This window comes from Homo sapiens, chromosome 14 (assembly GCF_000001405.40).
Source record: "Homo sapiens chromosome 14, GRCh38.p14 Primary Assembly".
Taxonomy (NCBI): Eukaryota; Metazoa; Chordata; class Mammalia; order Primates; family Hominidae; genus Homo; species Homo sapiens.
The window spans coordinates 25,245,979-25,263,251 of record NC_000014.9 but is presented as its reverse complement, the minus strand read 5'-3'; the positions used below and the strand labels follow the sequence as shown (position 1 = coordinate 25,263,251).

General features: G+C 38.3%; 1 long non-coding RNA gene across 6 annotated transcripts; it reads right to left on the bottom strand.

Annotated features, from left to right (window-relative positions):
* Positions 1-320: 320 nt before the first annotated feature.
* LOC105370415 (uncharacterized) lies at positions 321-16,694 on the bottom strand. Of its 6 annotated transcripts, XR_007064372.1 has the most exons (7): positions 16,491-16,694; positions 13,791-13,995; positions 13,000-13,196; positions 12,798-12,902; positions 12,549-12,617; positions 8,036-8,125; positions 321-492 (listed from the first exon to the last, which is right to left on the bottom strand). It is a non-coding gene; the product is annotated as an uncharacterized LOC105370415 (long non-coding RNA). The 6 variants fall into 6 exon arrangements; XR_007064373.1 differs by lacking the exon at positions 8,036-8,125; XR_943636.2 differs by lacking the exons at positions 321-492; positions 8,036-8,125 and adding an exon at positions 11,199-11,472.
* Positions 16,695-17,273: the final 579 nt, after the last annotated feature.

Genomic DNA, 17,273 nt, shown 5'->3' with positions numbered 1-17,273 from the left:
CTTGGGTAGTCTCAGGAATTGGAAGCCACAGACACTTCTGAAGGTGGTGTCAGAAAAAGGCAGAAAAACAGGACTATAGGAAGTCTAGATAAGGAGGACTTTGACCGCCAGTTCTCCTCTCTTACTTTATGTAGCCAGGTGACATCTCCTCTCCCATCATCACAGGAGCAGAGTATTTTATGTTCTAGAAAAATGGAATCAGGGAAGCTCCAAATTTGATAAAATCTGGGACAGTGGAGGGAAGGGCTGAGGCACCAGGCTGAAAACCATCTGCTTACTGAATGATGAAGATGCCAACCCCTTCCCTGGACTCACAGTCTCTCAGCACAGGGGAACAGAGGGTTTCTCTCTGAGGAAACATCTCCAGATGCAGCATGTCAGGGTCCATCAGCAATCATCTGGTTCTTGCTTTGTTCCCTACAGAGAAGTCTGGCAGCTGAGAGGCCCCAGCTATGTGCATAGAATTTCCTCACAGTAGTTTAGAGCTCCACTCTAAAATATGGATGGGTAGACAAGACACAAGATGTTTGAGATAGACAGCCTAGGTTCATATCCTGACTCCAACACTTACTAAGTGTGTGACCATTGTCAATCTAATTAATCTTTCTTTACCTCAATGTTCATATCTGTAAAATAGAATAAGATTTTTACTTCATAAGGTTGTTGTAAAGATTAAATGAGATTTTAGATAAAAAGCATTCATAAGGCCAGGCGCAGTGGCTCACGTGCAATGGTTCATGCCTGTAATCCCAGCACTTTGGGAGGCCGAGGCAGGCGGATCAAAATGTCAGGAGATCGAGACCATCCTGGCTAACACGGTGAAACTCCGTCTCTGCTAAAAATACAAAAAATTAGCCAGGCATGGTGGCACGCGCCTGTGGTCCCAGCTACTCAGGAGGCTGAGGCAGGAGAATCGCTTGAACCCAGAAGGCGGAGGTTGCAATGAGCCGAGATCGCACCACTGCACTCCAGCCTGGGTCTCCAGTGAGACTCTGTCTCAAAAAAAAAAAAAAAAAAAAAAAAGGCATTCATAACAGTGAGTAGATAAACCCAAATAAAAAATTTCAGGTGAAAAAGAGATAATGTAGGGATCCAAAGAAAATTTTATGAATAAAAAGTTCCTTTAATATCTTCAGATGAAGTGAGAAGAATATGCTATAATAAATTAAAGAAGGGCTCTTGAAAATTAAAAATATGATATGAGTAATGAATATGTCCATAGAATTGTTGAAAAATAAAGTTTAAATAGTCTCCCAGAAAGTAGAATATGACACAGACATGAACTATATATAGATAAATGTTAAGAAAATTCAAGGATCAATCGGGGTGCCCCACTGTTGCTCCTTCCTCAGGTTATACAGGTACATATCTGGCATATGCACCTACATTTTCACTTTTCCATTTCTATTTTCCAGTCTTGGTAGATAAAGCATATTTACCAAGTAGTAGTATTTGCAGAGATAAAATTTTGCATTTTGAACCACAACTACATAGTTTGTAAATAATCTGTATAATAATACCAGAGGCAAAATATATTGTTTCCAATCTTCTCTCTGGTTCTCATTTCCTTTAAACCTTACGAAGAAATACTTAGGAAGCATTTCTTTATCTCATCTTTTCAACCTAATTCATTTGGGCAGTTAGCCTCCAACCGATTTTCATTCCTATTTAATTTCCATTATAAATGTGAAAGAGAAGGTGAAGCAAGAAAAATGATAAACTCCTAAAATCATAATTTCAAGAAGCTTCATAAGAACAGTTGTGTTCAAATTATTTTAGTTTATGAATCCATTTTTATGTTATATGGTCTGTATATTCCTAAACCCCTTTTGTCGTATCCGTTCCTGAGTACTACCTAAAGTTTTCTTTTTTTTTTTTTTTTTGAGACAGGGTATTGCTCTGTCACCCAGGTTGGAGTGCAGTGTGTAACCACAGCTCACTGCAGCCTCAACCTCCTGGGCTCAAGTGATCCTCCTGCCGCAGTCTTTTGAGTAGCTGAGACTACAGGAATGCACCACCACACCCAGTGTGTGTGTGTGTGTGTGTGTGTGTGTGTTGAGATGGGGTCTCCCTATGTTATCCAAGCTGAACTCAAACTCCTGGATTCCAGAAATCTTCCGCCTTGGCCTCCCAAAGTGCTGAATTTACAGGTGTGAGCCACCACACCCAACCACTTTAACTCTTACAATCTACTTTCGTTTTTTGTTGTTGTTTTTGCTTTTGTTTTGTTTTGTTTTTGAGGCGGAGTTTCTCTCTTGTTGCCCAGGCTGGAGTGTAATGGCACGATCTCTGCTCACTGCAGCCTCTGCCTCCCAGGTTCAAGCGATTCTCCTGCCTCAGCCTCCCAAGTAGCTAGAATTACAGGCGTGTGCCACCACACCTGGCTAATTTTGTATTTTTAGTAGAGACGGGGTTTCTCCATATTTGGTCAGGCTGGTCTTGAACTCCTGACCTCAGGTGATACACCCGCCTCAGCCTCCCAAAGTGCTAGGATTACAGGCATGAGCCACCACACCTGGCCACAACCTGTTTTCCAGTCCTTTTAGCTAATATGTTTCTCATTAGCTGAATTAGCTCATTCTCCTATAAAAAGTATGACAAGGGGAAAAAATTAAAGAAAAAGGAAAAGAAAAAATTGTTGAAATTCAGAGAACTTCATTATTCTACATAAAGCTCATTACTATCAGCTTCTATAAAATTGAGCCTGAAACCCTCAGACCCAGTTATGGTTTCATTTATGCAGGTATTAAATCCTTCCAATGACCCATTGTAGGCTTATGTAAAATTACCATTAGTTACATTTATTTAAATCAGTGTTTAGCCAGATGAAAACTGGTAAAAACAAAAATCAAGAGCTGCCTTTTGAAAAGTAATTTTTTTAATAAGAAGAAGATTTTTCTAAGAATCTTTTTGTTAAAAAAATCGTATTTATAAAAATAGTTACGAGTTGGGCTCCCAACCCTGACGTGTTTATCTAAAGGATATCAGCTTCAGGTCACATTTAGCACCAGCTAGTAGCATTGTTTTTATTGATTTCACTTTCTTTATTTTTCAATTATTATGCAATTCAAGAAACTGGTTTCCCTAGCAGAAATACATAAAATATCAAGGAAGAAAACACCAGACTTTACAAATGAGACTTTAGGATTGTGGGTGGATTTACATCAGCTTTTTCTTCCTCATTCATTATCTCCATGACTAATCAAAAGTGAGCTCTCTTAATACATTTAATAGGGTTCTCACTGAATAAAATACATCATTTAAATCAGCTAGATCACTTGACCTTCAAGGCAAAATCTCAAAGCAGCTGAAACAAACACCAACTGAAAAACTGCCACCAAAACTCATTCTACATCTGAGAATGGACAGACCAAATATACTGAATGAAAGCGTGCCAAACTTACATACACACCATACATGGAAAGTTGATAGATGATGTTCCTCAATCCTTATGAATCTCAAAACAATACCCCACCCCCCTCCCTCAAAGCTAAACCACAACCAAGCTGACCTTGGTCAATGGCATCATCTGGTGGTTGCCACAAAAGACTGCCCAAACCACCTTCTTCCTCAGGAGATCAAGTGCATACAGTAGTGTCCCCAAGCCTATTGGTGGTTTCACTTTCTGCAGTTTCAGTTACCTGCAGCCAACCACAGTCCAAAAATATCAAATAGAAAATTCCAGAAATAAGCAATTCATAAGTTTTAAATTGTATGCCATTCTAAGTAGTGCAATGAAATCTCCTTCCTGCTCCTTCCAGTTTGGGATCTGAATTTTCCTTTGCCCAGCGTATTCATGCTGTCCACGCTTAATAACTTAGTAGCTGTCTTGGTTATCAGATCTGCTATTGCATATCACAGTGTTTGTGCTCAAGTAAACCCTATTTTACTTAATAATGACCCCACAGCACAGGAGTAGTGATAATGACAATTCAGATATGCCAAAGAGAAGCTGTCAAGTGCTTTCATTAAGTGGAACATGTTCTACTTAAGAAAGAAAAAAAAATTATGCTGAAATTGCTGAGATCTACAGTAAGAATGAATCTTTCATCCATGAAACTGTAAAGAAGAAAAAAGAAATTTGTGCTAGTTTTGCTGTCTTGCCTCAAACTGCAAAAGTTACAGCCACAGTAAATGATAAGTGCTTAGTTAAGATAGAAAACACATTAAATTTGTGGGTAAGATATAAACAGAAATGTGTTCTAATTTATGGCAGCAGGGTCCAGTACTATCCAAAGTTCCAGGCATCCACTGGGCGTGTTGAAACACATGCCCTGCAGATAAAAGGATGCTACTGAATAGTGATTCCACTCTTTCATTACACATAACTGTTTATTTCACCTCAAGTAACTTCTATCTCTGGGGGCAAGAAAATGTTTAGAATTTTCAAAATAATTCTATGAGCTTGTATTTTGTATTTTGTTTTGTTTTGTTTTTACCAAAGTAAAATATTAACAAGTGTAGTAAATTCAGAATATATAGAATTCACAAATTAAAATCACAAAAAGTAAGATAAAAATGTAAAAGTATTTTAAAATGTAAAAAAAAAAAAAAAAAATCATATTTAAACCCACCATCCAAACTAACACTAATAGCCAGGCATGGTGGCCCACACCTGTAATCCTAGCTACTCAAGAGGCTAAGATGGGAAGATCCCTTTAGCTGAGGTGGTCAAGGCTGCAGTGAACTGTGATTGTGCCACTACCCTCCAGCCTGGTTGACAGAGGATAACACTAATGAGCTGCCCACATTCAGGTGATTTAGTAATTAAAATGCATATTTTATTTCCTCATCCAACACAATTAAACTACAATAAAGGAATTTTTTTAAGAAATAAATCCACAAAGATGGGAAGTCCTGGAGAAACAGCAACAAAATTTTGGAAGATGGAAAGCAGATCATGAGAGGGAACTGACTTACAAACCCAAGGCAAAGATGTCTAAAGCCAACGGCTAAGAAAGCTGATAAATTAGATGATTTACACTGTAAATTCCAGCTACCTGTAGAACTAGGAGTGAGCAATGAAGACAAAGAGGTTAACATAAGGAAAATTTAATTATAGTTGTGTGTGTAGCAGTTAGATCCTTTTCCCCACAGCATGCTGAAAGATGACCGTCTTTCCCAACACCAGGAGAAACGGAGAGTTTTGCCTTCAGAAGGATAAAACAGGGTTTCTGAACCAGGGAATAACTCAGTCATAATTGAAGAATTGGGTGCCATACATAAAAGGGAAATTAAGATATCAAATGCTTATTAATTGCTTTACACTAAGTGCTGAGACCTTTAGCCACCTGGCCCTAACGTCCCACAACTCTGGGAGCCAGGCTTCACCCCATTAGAAAGAGCTGAAAAATTTACCTAAATAACCTCAGAGAATAAGATAAGGAAAGAAAACCAAATCATCCTAAGTGAAACTCAAATCGCCCCACATTCCGTGAGCACTGTAGGCTCTCGCTTTTAATCCAAGCAGACAACCAAGGGTCAAGGAACATTTGAAGAAATCAGTTAATAAGACAGATAAAGACAAAAACAAATTATTATTCTGTAAATAACAATTTACAGAAAACAGAGATAATTCCACTAGAAAAGAAAAACTTAAAATAATCCATACTTACCCTCAGAGTAATAAGAGAAGCTACTTCCATGAAGTATGATGCTCCCTTTTTTTAAAGCTCTTGAAAATTAAAAATATGGTAACAGAAAAGTTTTTAAAATCAATAGAATGATTAGAAGATAAATTTGAGAAAATCTCCCAGAAAGTAAAGTAGAAAGATAAACAAATAGAAAAAAAAAAAAAGAAATTGAAGAAGGAAGCAAAAAGTATCATGTTCAAATATTAGGTTAATTTGAATAAGAGTTCCAGAATGCAAAATAACAGGTGGGAGGATATCATAAATAAAATAATTTAAGAAAATTTCCCAGGACTAATAGACCTGATTTTCCAGGTTGAAAGGAGCCACCAACTGCTCAACACAATAGGTGGGAACTTTTCAAAACATTGAGGACATGGAGAAGATACTGAAAGCTCCTGGGAATTAAAAAAACAAAAAACAGATAATATACTGCAAAACCAAAATGCAGCATCAGAATGGCTTCTGACTTACCAGCAATCTGGAAGCTGAAGGGTTGTGAAGAAATACCTGCAAAATTCTGAAAGGAAATTACTTCCGACATAGAATTCTATACATGTCAAACTATCAATCAGGTGGAAAAGTAAACTAACGATATTTACTGATGTACAACATCTCAAATTTATTTGTCACATACCCTTTCTCAAAACGTAACTGGTAGTTATGTGTTCCAACAAAATGAGGAAGCAAACTAAGAAAGAAGAAAATATAAAATGTAAGAAAAAATGCCTTCAACCAAACAGAACAGTGAAGAGAATGTCCAGGGTAATGGGGAAGGAAGAATCCAGGTTAACCACTGCATTCCAAGATAGATGGAAACTGTTTTAGATCAGGACATATTAGAAAATTTGTGCCCAAGGACAGCACAAGGCACCATATCATAGCCATCCATCCATTCAGAGGGAACAAGTAGACGTGGATAAGGTCAACCAAACCACCATTTTATTGATGTTATCCACACTAAAGATGGCATATGGCTGCAACTGAAAGATGAGACTATAAAGAAATATGTTTCAGCTGGGTGTAGTGGCTCACACCTGTAATCCCAGCACTTTGGGAAGCCGAGGCAGGTGGATCACTTGAGGTCAGGACCTTGAGACCAGTCTGGCCAACATGGTGAAACCCCCTCTCTACCAAAAATACAAAAATTAGCCAGGCGTGGTGGTGGGCACCTGTGGTCCCAGCTACTTGTGAGGTTGAAGCGGGAGAGCTGCTTGAACCTGGGAGGTGGAGGTTGCAGTGAGCTGAGATTACGCCACTACACTCGAACCTGGGCGATAGAGTGAACCTCCATCTCAAAAAAAAAAAAGAGAAAATATGTTTCTAATAATAAAGGTTTTTAATAAAGCCTGACATAACCATCTTACTGAACTTCTTGACAAGAGCCTTCGGGTCCTCCACAACTTCAGTGCCAATTGCACATAAATCTATCCAAGTAATTCAGATTTTTAGATATGTATGTGTGTGTTAATGCATGTATACATACAAACACTTGCCTATTCATAGAATATCTCTGGTACACTGAAATATCAGCCTTTACCACTGTACAATTCATCCATATAACTGAAAAACACTTGTACCCCAAAAGCTATTGAAATAAAAACAAACTAATAGTATCTCTGGAAAGATACATAATAAATCCACAATGTACACTCTTCTCCTAGGGAAAGCAACTGGGTCAGCAGGATTAAAGAGGTATGAGGAAGATTCACTTTTTTCAGTAGTTATCTTTTTGTCTCTTTTGATTTCGCAAATACAGACTTATTTAACAAATAAGACAAAATTATTTTACCCACAAAATAATAATAAGGTGCATTAAGGTGCCTTATCTGCTATTTCCATCTCCCCATCAAGCTGTTCATTTTGCTTACCCACACCCATTTATTTTTAAAACTTTTCTTCATTTAGCTCACTATTTCATTTTTTACCCAATTATCTTGTAGGAAGGATAGGGAAATCTATCTTTTCATTTCACTTGTGTGGCAAAAAATTATCCTAATTATGTCTGATCTGCCTAAGAGTAGTGTTAAAATTTCCATATGAAGGAACAGTAAATTCACAAGTTCTGAAGGGAAATTAACCATAATAAAAAGTCATTGCCACCAGTTTCTAAAGACCTTGCCTTAAAGGCTCAGAAAATTCAGATTTTTAAAGTAAATTCTCATTTATCTCCTCTTTTACTTTAATTAAGACTACTTTATGCATCAGATTTAAAGATTTAGAAACTCTTATTCGATTTGTTTCCAGTTTCGTTTAATTTCCATACTGCAACAGCATTGTTTCCATGTTTTTTATCCAGTTTCCTGATTTGGGCTGGGTCATGTCTGCAGTAGAGTGAGATAGCTGTTAACGCTTGGTGCTCAGGCAAGCCCTTCCTAGGAAAGAGTCAGGAGCTAGAGACCTACCTCCCAGAACAATGTGGACAATTGATAAAGCACCCAAAAACAATCTTCAGGAAGAAATTGCAATAAGCAGATGGACATGGCCTCTTCAGCCTGGAAGGAAGGAATAATCAGATGCCCCATTAGGTGTTGATAACAAAAAGGCTCCACAAAAGCGGCAAACAAGTGGCGCCGTGGGACATGAAGAACAACCATCAGGGAGTCTGGCAGTGGCAGCAAAGAGAGAAGTAAAGCAGGACATAAAGCAAATGAGACCCAGATAGAGACTACATCAGTAACTGGGATGTAAGAAAAGAACCAGCTCACTGGGGATACGGTGAGAGCCACAACAAGTTCTGATCAAGCAAAACTCTGATCTGAAATCAATATACTCCTGAAATATGGCACCGTAAATTCTCCTGGATCAAAGAGACTTTAAGAAGAGCCTATTTTAGGAAGAGGGAAAGAGATTGAAAGATTGGAATTAAGTTGTCTTAGTCTGAGAACTTGAAGTAGGGATTGTGAATAGGGGTCATGGAAGCCAGGCAGGTGTCACCAGCCTGGAGACATAGTCGCCATTTATATTCTGCGTTACATATAGAGTGATGTGTTCTACATTTCGACTTAACAAAGTCATCTTTGAAAACATAAACTGTTCAAGTTAGAAATTACTTACATCTAGGTAGCAGCTGCCCTTTTACCATCTGCAATGAGTTATACCTTAAGAGTTGCTAGATAGCTGTGTTGGGATGTTTTTGGTGGTTGCAGTAACTGGAGTGTGATCCTGGCATTTACAGTGTAGGGTCCAGTGATTGTAAAAGTCCTTTAATAAGGTAGACAGACTTGCACATACACACAAAATGTCCCCCACACCCACAAAATGCCAGGAGCCTCCCCATTGAGATATACCCATTGTTTCACTTCACTGATGTGCTTCCCATGTGTGAATGCAGCACTGTGAGAATTCAAAGCTTCCATCAGAGACCTTAAAAGTTCTATTCTAGCGGAGGATAGTGGAAAAAACAAGAACAAACAATAACAACAACAAAAGTATTCTCTGATCAGGCATGGTAGTTCACGCCTGTAATCCCAGCACTTTGGGAGGCCAAGGTGGGCAGATCACCCGAGGTCAGGAGTTCGAGACCAGCCTGGCCAACATGGAGAAACTCTGTCTCTACTAAAAATACAAAAATTAGCTGGGCATGGTGGCTGGTGCCTGTAATCCCAATTACTTCGGAGCCTGAGGCAGGAGAATCGCTTGAACCCAAGAGGCGGAGGTTGCAGTGAGCCGAGATCATGCACTCCAGCCTGGGTGACAGAGCGAAAGACTGTCAAAAAAAAGGCCGGGTGCGGTGACTCACGCCTGTAATCCCAGCATTTTGGGAGGCCGAGGCGGGCGGATCATGAGGTCAGGAGATAGAGACCATCCTGGCTAACACGGTGAAACCCCATCTCTACCAAAAAATACAAAAAAATTAGCCGGGTGTGGTGGCGGGCGCCTGTAGTCCCAGCTACTTGGGAGGCTGAGGCAGGAGAATGGCGTGAACCCGGGAGGCGGAGCTTGCAGTGAGCCGAGATCCCGCCACTGCACTCCAGCCTGGGTGACAGAGCGAGACTGTCTCAAAAAAGTCTTCTTTACCTAAATTCATTGTTGAGTGTTTTTTAAATATGGAGGGAACATCAGGTTAGTTTTGTAGACGTCTTTCATAAACATTTAACCTAATTACGATAAACATGTTAGAATTAGTTCAGAATTACCATGTAAAAGACTGCAGAAGAGAAATCACTTGCTAATGCTTATTCTGAATAGCAAAGGAAACATAGGTGAGAGAATCTAAGCCATTCTCAAAGTAGTAAACTCACTCTAGGGAACAAAAATCAATTAAAGCAAATCTGCCATCGATCTTAAATTTGACAAATCACCTCTCAGCTTTGCAACAGGTAGCTGTTGTAGGTTAATATTCAGTCAAGACACTGAAGGAAACGTCTTCAAAATAACTTCCTATGTCATTACCCTCAAGAGAGACTTGTTTATCAGAAAGTCACCTTCAGTTTTTAAAACAAGAGAAGGCATATGTTCTGTGATTTCAGGGAGTGCTTGAGTTCCAGGCACCAGGAGATTAGAATGAACTTTTCACCTAGTTCAGCTCATTAAATTCAATGGAGGTGCCGTCTGTACAACGGAATAACGATATCCATAAATCTGCAGTCTGCTGTGGATTTACTACGACGCATTCACACGTGAGGCTTCTCTACACATTTACCTTAGCGTAAAGTACATCATCAAGGCCACTCGTGTTGTGCCTAAGCACCGTTTAGACAAAGGCATTTCTACAAAATGCCTTTAGAGCACACCTACTTCAATAACGTCACACACACACAAGTGGAATGCATGGACTGTTAAATCAAATCTGTCTTGCAGATTGAACTTTCACAGTTCGGTGTGATGTGAATTAGTTTCTGATGGGAAAATGTGATTCAAATCTTATAGAATTTGGTCAGCCAAATTTAAAGAGCAGAATTTTTTTATGTCACCATTGGCAGACTAAAAGACAATCTGGTTGTCCTCCCGCCAGCATGCTCCGAACCTACCCCCCACCCGCCACCCGCCAGCTGCCCTACATACACACCACCCGTATAAGCTCCATCCACCTTCCTGGTACATGTCAAATTCAATTTCTCTCCTTTTCTGGGTCCCGTGGTTCTTGTTTTCTCCAACACACATTTGGCGTATGTTACTCCCTGTTACTGATTTTGTTAAAACAAGTTTCATGTTTTCATTGATCATATATATGCCATGTGCACAAATTGTACATACCATAACCCTGTGCAGAGTAAGCACAGAGGTACTTATTAATAGGCATATATTCTTATCAACTTAACATCTAAAAAGCAATTTTCTTGAATTCATTTTATTAGTACTTATCTCAGTGATTGTTTTAAATGGGCTGATCAGACAGCTGCCTAGGCAGGAGACTTGAAAGTGACCAAAAGTACTGGTATAGATAAAAATATCTCCCTAGGGTTACTGGTTTTCTTTCTTCCAGTCTGAAATTTCCCATTAATGGATTAAAATACCAAAATGAGGACATAATTTCTAAAATTCTCAAACAATATCAGGAAACTGTATTTTCTTACATAAAAACAAGGAATGCATATAATCATTTATCATTCAGTAGAAGTACAAATATGCTACAAAGAGGAGGATATTTTCACCGGGAAGAGGTCTGTGGAGAGAATCAGCCAGAGTCTAGAAGTTTGGGAGTAGAATGGCAGTAGAATGACTTTGCCTTTTAGTTTGTCTAAGACAGTCCCAATATACTCCAGTTGTTCTGGAATAATTACTCATGAAGCTCCCTTTCACTCTCAGAAATGTCTCAGTCTGGGTGATAAATTACAGTTATTTGATGGATGGAGATCTTGTGCTAAGACTTGGGCTCAGTTCTTGGGCACATCAGCTTCTGGAAGGTAGTGGAGAAAAATTATTGTAAGAGCTGGAACTTAAATTTGCTTCTCCTGACTCCCAATCAGTGCTCTTTTTTTTCTAGACAGGCTTTTATAACAACACTGTTACTGTTCCTGTCTCCTCTAGGCTCCTTTTGTCTTCTCAAAAAGGTTTGAAGAACTGATGATTGATATCATCTCTGGTCATTCTTTCACTTGTCTTAAGCCTCAAGAATCATGCTAAAACAAAAAATAGTTGTTGAAGATATGTTTACTAATGGACTGATTACCTTCTTAGATAATAAAGGGAATGACATGCTGCAATTTTATGTTCTGAAGTTCCTGACATTTGACAGGCATAAAACTGAGATTTTCACACACCTGAAAAATTGATTTTTACATTTTTTTCCTCCAGCTTATTAACTTTATCTTCTCTTCCATCACTACTATAATCAGATTCAGATTTCTCTGTAGATTTACTTTTATAATCTACGAATATATTGTCTGCATATATAACAAGTCAATTGAGATGTAGTTGCTGGGTGGCAAGCATGGCATATTCACCAGCCAAAAGGGTGTCAACTTGCATACCATCCTAAAAACCCATGACTCCAAGGTATCCCTCAACACATTGATAAAATGTGAGAGACGTGAGCTTTGGGGCAGTAGCATTGTGTTGTGCAAATCTAGGTTGCCACTCATGTGATGTACTCAAAAACAGCAGTTCTGCTCTGGCCTTCCATTAGTCAAAATGACAAATTTAAATTCATGAATTTTAAGTGCCCATTAGATGTTAAAAATGCAAGTTATAATAGGCAAAATTGTAAGTGTTTTTTTGGTTCACTGTTGGATCTGTCTGAATTCAAAGTTGAAAGATTTTCCTTCTCCCCACAATTTCATTTTTTAATTGTCCAAAATCAAGATCCATTCAAGCTTCAATATCAAGTTTATGATAGAGAAAGAAAAGGAAATCATCTGGGATAGATGCCAGGTCTCCTGATCTAATTTTGTCACCTACCAAAGGACAGACAGATTTTGATGGATCTGTTTACACACATCTAGTCATATAACATAATGATCATGTTGTACTAACCTGGCACTTCTGCACTCTTACTGCTGTGAACTGGCATAGAATTCCTTGGTATTTATCACAGCCAGGTTTCTAAGAAAAGGATTAAAATGGAAATACATTTTATTTGAACCAAGTTTAGTTTTTGATTAAAGATAACTTTATGATTCAGAATGTTGCTTTTTATGATTGTTAAAAATGACCAAAAATGTTTAAGCATATATTTGGGTTAAATATAAAAATGAATCCAAAAATGCAGCTGGTATAACTCACCATAGATCCAATTATTGACCTGAGACATATCCTCAATGGAGGTGAAACAGGTAGTTAATGCACGAGAGCTTGGTGATTGTTGATACCTCCTGGTATATGACAAGCCTTTTAAAAAAAAAAATTTGCTACATCAAACTCTCTTCACAGAATTTCATAGAGAAAAAAATATACCCAGCTGTTTAAAAAAAGCAAAATACTTAACTGACAGCATGATTATCAGTGGAAGCCATGGAATATTTAGTTGTCAGGGGTTCTCAAGAGCAGATTTTGCAGCTTTGTGAAATCCTTACTCATGAAGTGCTTGATTCAAAAACAGGGCTTTCATCTGTAGAGTTGGAACTTCATCTCATGAGTGCTTGACAACTCATGGGCAATTACAAAAGTATTTACTGAAAGTTGCTAATAGAAAAATAATTGCAAAAAAAATTATGAGCTACCACTTAACCCCCTGAAGAAAGAGAGCTGGATTTATTGGCTGTGCCAAGTGGCATCTTGAAGTGATTAGATAATTCTGTACCAAAAATGCCCTAAATGAGAAAAAAGTAGACTTTGGGTCTTCATGGTACAAATAGGCTCTGTAAATCTCAGGGGAGCACTTTCTTCTGACTGAGTAGACATCACTTCTCCATACACACACTTCTGCTTTTATAGACCATGTCTCCTTAAGTATTTCCTAATTAAGACTTACAGGCAAGAGTCTGCCCAAATTAACCAGAGTTGTCTACATGAGTTGCTTTGTTTGTTAGTTTTAAATTGGACATTATTTTAAAATATATTTCCATTTTAATCTTTGAAATAATTTTAGATTTCCAGGAAAGTTACAAAGATAGTACAGAGTATTTCCCTATACCCTTCTCCCAGCTTCCCATGATGTTAGTACTTATAAAACCATGCTGCATTTTTGAAAATTAAGAAATTAATATTAGCACAATACTAAACAATGCTGAACTAAACTATAGACTTTATTTGTATTTCACCACTTTTCCCACTCACCTTATTTGCTATTCTAGAATCCAATCCAGGATAGCCCAAAGCATTTAGTCACCAGGTCTCTCCATTCTTCTCTGATCTATGACAGTTTTTTAGTCTTGTCTTGTTTAGTCTTGTCTTGTTTTGGGGGATCTTGACACTTTTGAAGAGTACTGGACATTTTGTAGAATGCTCCTCAATTTGGATTGTCTGATATTTTCTCATTAGACTGAAGTTACAAATTTTGATGAAAAATGCTAAAGAGGTAAAGTACCCTTCTCATAACACCCCTGAGCTGTTTTCTTAACTTACTCTTAATTTTTTAATTTTCTTGGCATATATGAAGGAAACCTCTGAGCTGTTTTTGAGCAAGGACTAAGATGGCAAAAAGTTGTATGTAATCTCTTACATAAAGATGTAAAGTTATATGTATAGCTTATAAGTAAATAACTTGAGAAGTTGCTTAAGTATGAAAAATAGTTGTTAGCATCGAGTTCCACTTTCTAAACCTGAATCTGTTTGCTTTAGAGATTTCAACCAAAGCATCCCACCTAAAACATTCTGAATCACAATTAGTTACCAGGCCTTCAAAGAAATTTGGTATTAATAATAAAGTACTACAGCCTACACTTGATTAGCTTTATTTATAACTTTGAGTAAATGTAAGAACATCCCCATAATAGAAGTACTCTTTCTGATTTGTGTCAATATGCTGCATGGGGTGGGAGAAAAGGGGGTAGAGGTATACCTAATGTGCTCATAAAAACAGCACATGTGTGGCACATAGCTTGCCACATATACAAATATTAGTATATTGTGGGCTTATTTTTTACAAATACATTGACAATCAATGCTTTAGATTAGTAGTCTCAAAAATATTTGTCTTATACCCTTTCATAAAGATGTTTTAGTATAAATCTTGCATAGCCTGGTTTCTTCCTCAAAAAAACAGAGTCTAAGACTCAAAAAGAGTCTAAGACAATGGCTTCCATAAAGGGAGTTTATTTGCAGGAATAATCCTACCAAGGAGAACAGGATAGTAGGGGCTGGAAAAGGGAAAACAGGGAAGGGCAGAGGCCAATTCAAAGGGGACATAATTGGGCTGGTTACTATTAAGGGCCAATAAGGGCCAATGAGGTCCCTCTGAAGAACCATGTAGAATGCACTTTAGAATTGTTCATCCAGGACATGGGAAAGGTTAAGTATTTATCCATTGGCTCTCAGCTCCCATTGAGTCAAGTTTCTCACACTTCCATATTTGTGCATGCTTGAGCATGGCTGGACAGAGGTAGAGAAAGAATAATAGATGATAGAGATATGGAGGAGCTGAAGCTTGAGGCTGACAGATCACACCTGTGCACGACTGGATGCCATACAATAGAGTACAAAGGAAGACCAAGATTATGTGAGCCAGGGTTTAATATCCGCAGCCAATGTATGTAAATTTATATATAAATGTATGTGTTATGTGCTAACCCATATTAAATTTTAGTAAAGTTCATTTCATTGTTTTCCTTGGGTAAGATAGAAATGGCACTAAAATTTTGGTTTCCATAATCGGTTAAGGATTGTGCTATAATTATTCCTGTCTCTAGTTTCTTTTTCTCACTTCCTGACTCACCCTAGTCTTTGTTCTTCTGTCAACATTTTTCACAGAAGTGTGTCGGGGAGAGAAAGAGGTGGCTTTGTGGGCCTGAACACCAGCACAAAGGGAAGGGTCCAGCATTGGGCGGGCACAGGAGTTTCCAGGGGGTGAAAAACCTCTGTTGATCTCTCCCTTGCCTTTTATAAAAATGAGATTTTTTTAAATCTGCCAAATGTCTTATGCAGCACTAGGTAAATGTTCTGAATTTTAGAGTATGAAAATATTTCAGATTGTCCAGTCTTTTGGCAATATCTTCAACTCTACATTTTATTTAAAATGCGTATATTCATCTTAAAATTATTTTTACCATGTTGAGTTGCTCATCTATAAATCTATGCTGCTTAAGTAGTAGTTTAAATGTAAATTTTAATGAATGCTATGAATCAGTGCCTAATTTGCACATTTTGTTAATTACCTGTGGTTTGGGATAATCCATCCAAGATGTTCCCTATTATATCACCCTGGGTAATTAAGAGTTGACCTATTTTCAAATTTTTGTGGCTCAAATAGAATGAATTCCAGTCAATTTTCTTTCCTAATAGAAAAACCATCATTTATTTAAATAGTCTATCAGCCATAATTGGAACATGAAATCTTGGGATGAAAATTGACTTTCAAAGGTCATAGAGTCCATCCTCCTACCTCTGGGTAGACTGTCAAACCAGCCAGCAAATATATTCCATCTTTTACAGCTTATTTGTAAAATGTAGCCAAGAATGTGCACCAGCCTGAGGAGCAACCTGTTTCTCCCTCCTAACCATCTGAGTCCTTGCCCTAAAGAAAGGTCAATCAGGCAGTTACCAATATTTGCCGAAATAAATGTGTGTGCAAATACACCCAGACACTGTATCCACACACCCTCACACAGAGGCATGACAATGAAGTTTCACACAGCGTGGGTGCACTCCCCCCAACATTCTCTTCCTTGGGTGTGAATCATGCTCTTTTTATGCCTAAAGAAGGATCAGGCATTTCCTTATGAGATTTTTCCTCACTCAAAAAAAAAGAAGCTGACTTTAAATTGTGGGCCATATTCCACATTTACAAGACCCAGGGATAGCTTTGCTGTAGACACTTACCTGTGTGGGAATGGGAAATTTTTTTTCCAACATATTATACACTTGTCTTTTATCTTTTTGTTAAGGACCCTAGATGCACAATGGACCAATGGTTATTCAAGGGCTTCTCCCAGGTCTTCCTCTAGGCTGTTATGTCCATTTCTGAACCACTGTACCCCTGGAGTTTTCTTACAAACCTCTTGTAATCCTTCATCCTGGAACTTCTGTGGCATTATTTACCTCACCCTGTCCGTTGCCAGGCAAACCACATAGCAAGTTCACTTTCTAGAATGTAGAGGCCTTCTCTTGCCCATCTTCCATTAGAGCCAGCGACACCTACTTGTCATCTTCTGCTTGCTTGAACTTCCCACTCTCAAAGACCAGTGTTGGTCTCAGACAGCCTTTGACTTGATATGAAACTGCATACTGAGTGCTGGTACAGAGAGCCTGCCCTTCCGTTCCCCTGACTGAATCCTGCTCTTCTCACCCAAAACTTAGTCTACCCACAGTCTTCCCCACCTCAGTTGATTAAAAACTCCTACTTGCCAGTTGCTTAAGCCAGAAATCTCAAAGTCATCCCTGATTCCTCTCTTTCTCTCACATCACATATCCAACTTATACTCTCAAAATACTGAATACTTTTTGGCTGGACATGATGGCTCACACTTTGGGCTTACAAAGTATAATCCCAACACTTTGGGAGGCTGAGGCAGGAGGATCCCTTGAGCCCAGGGGTTCAAGATCACCCTAGGCAATATAAAAATACCCCTTCTTTAAAAAAACAAAAAACTGACAAATTAACTG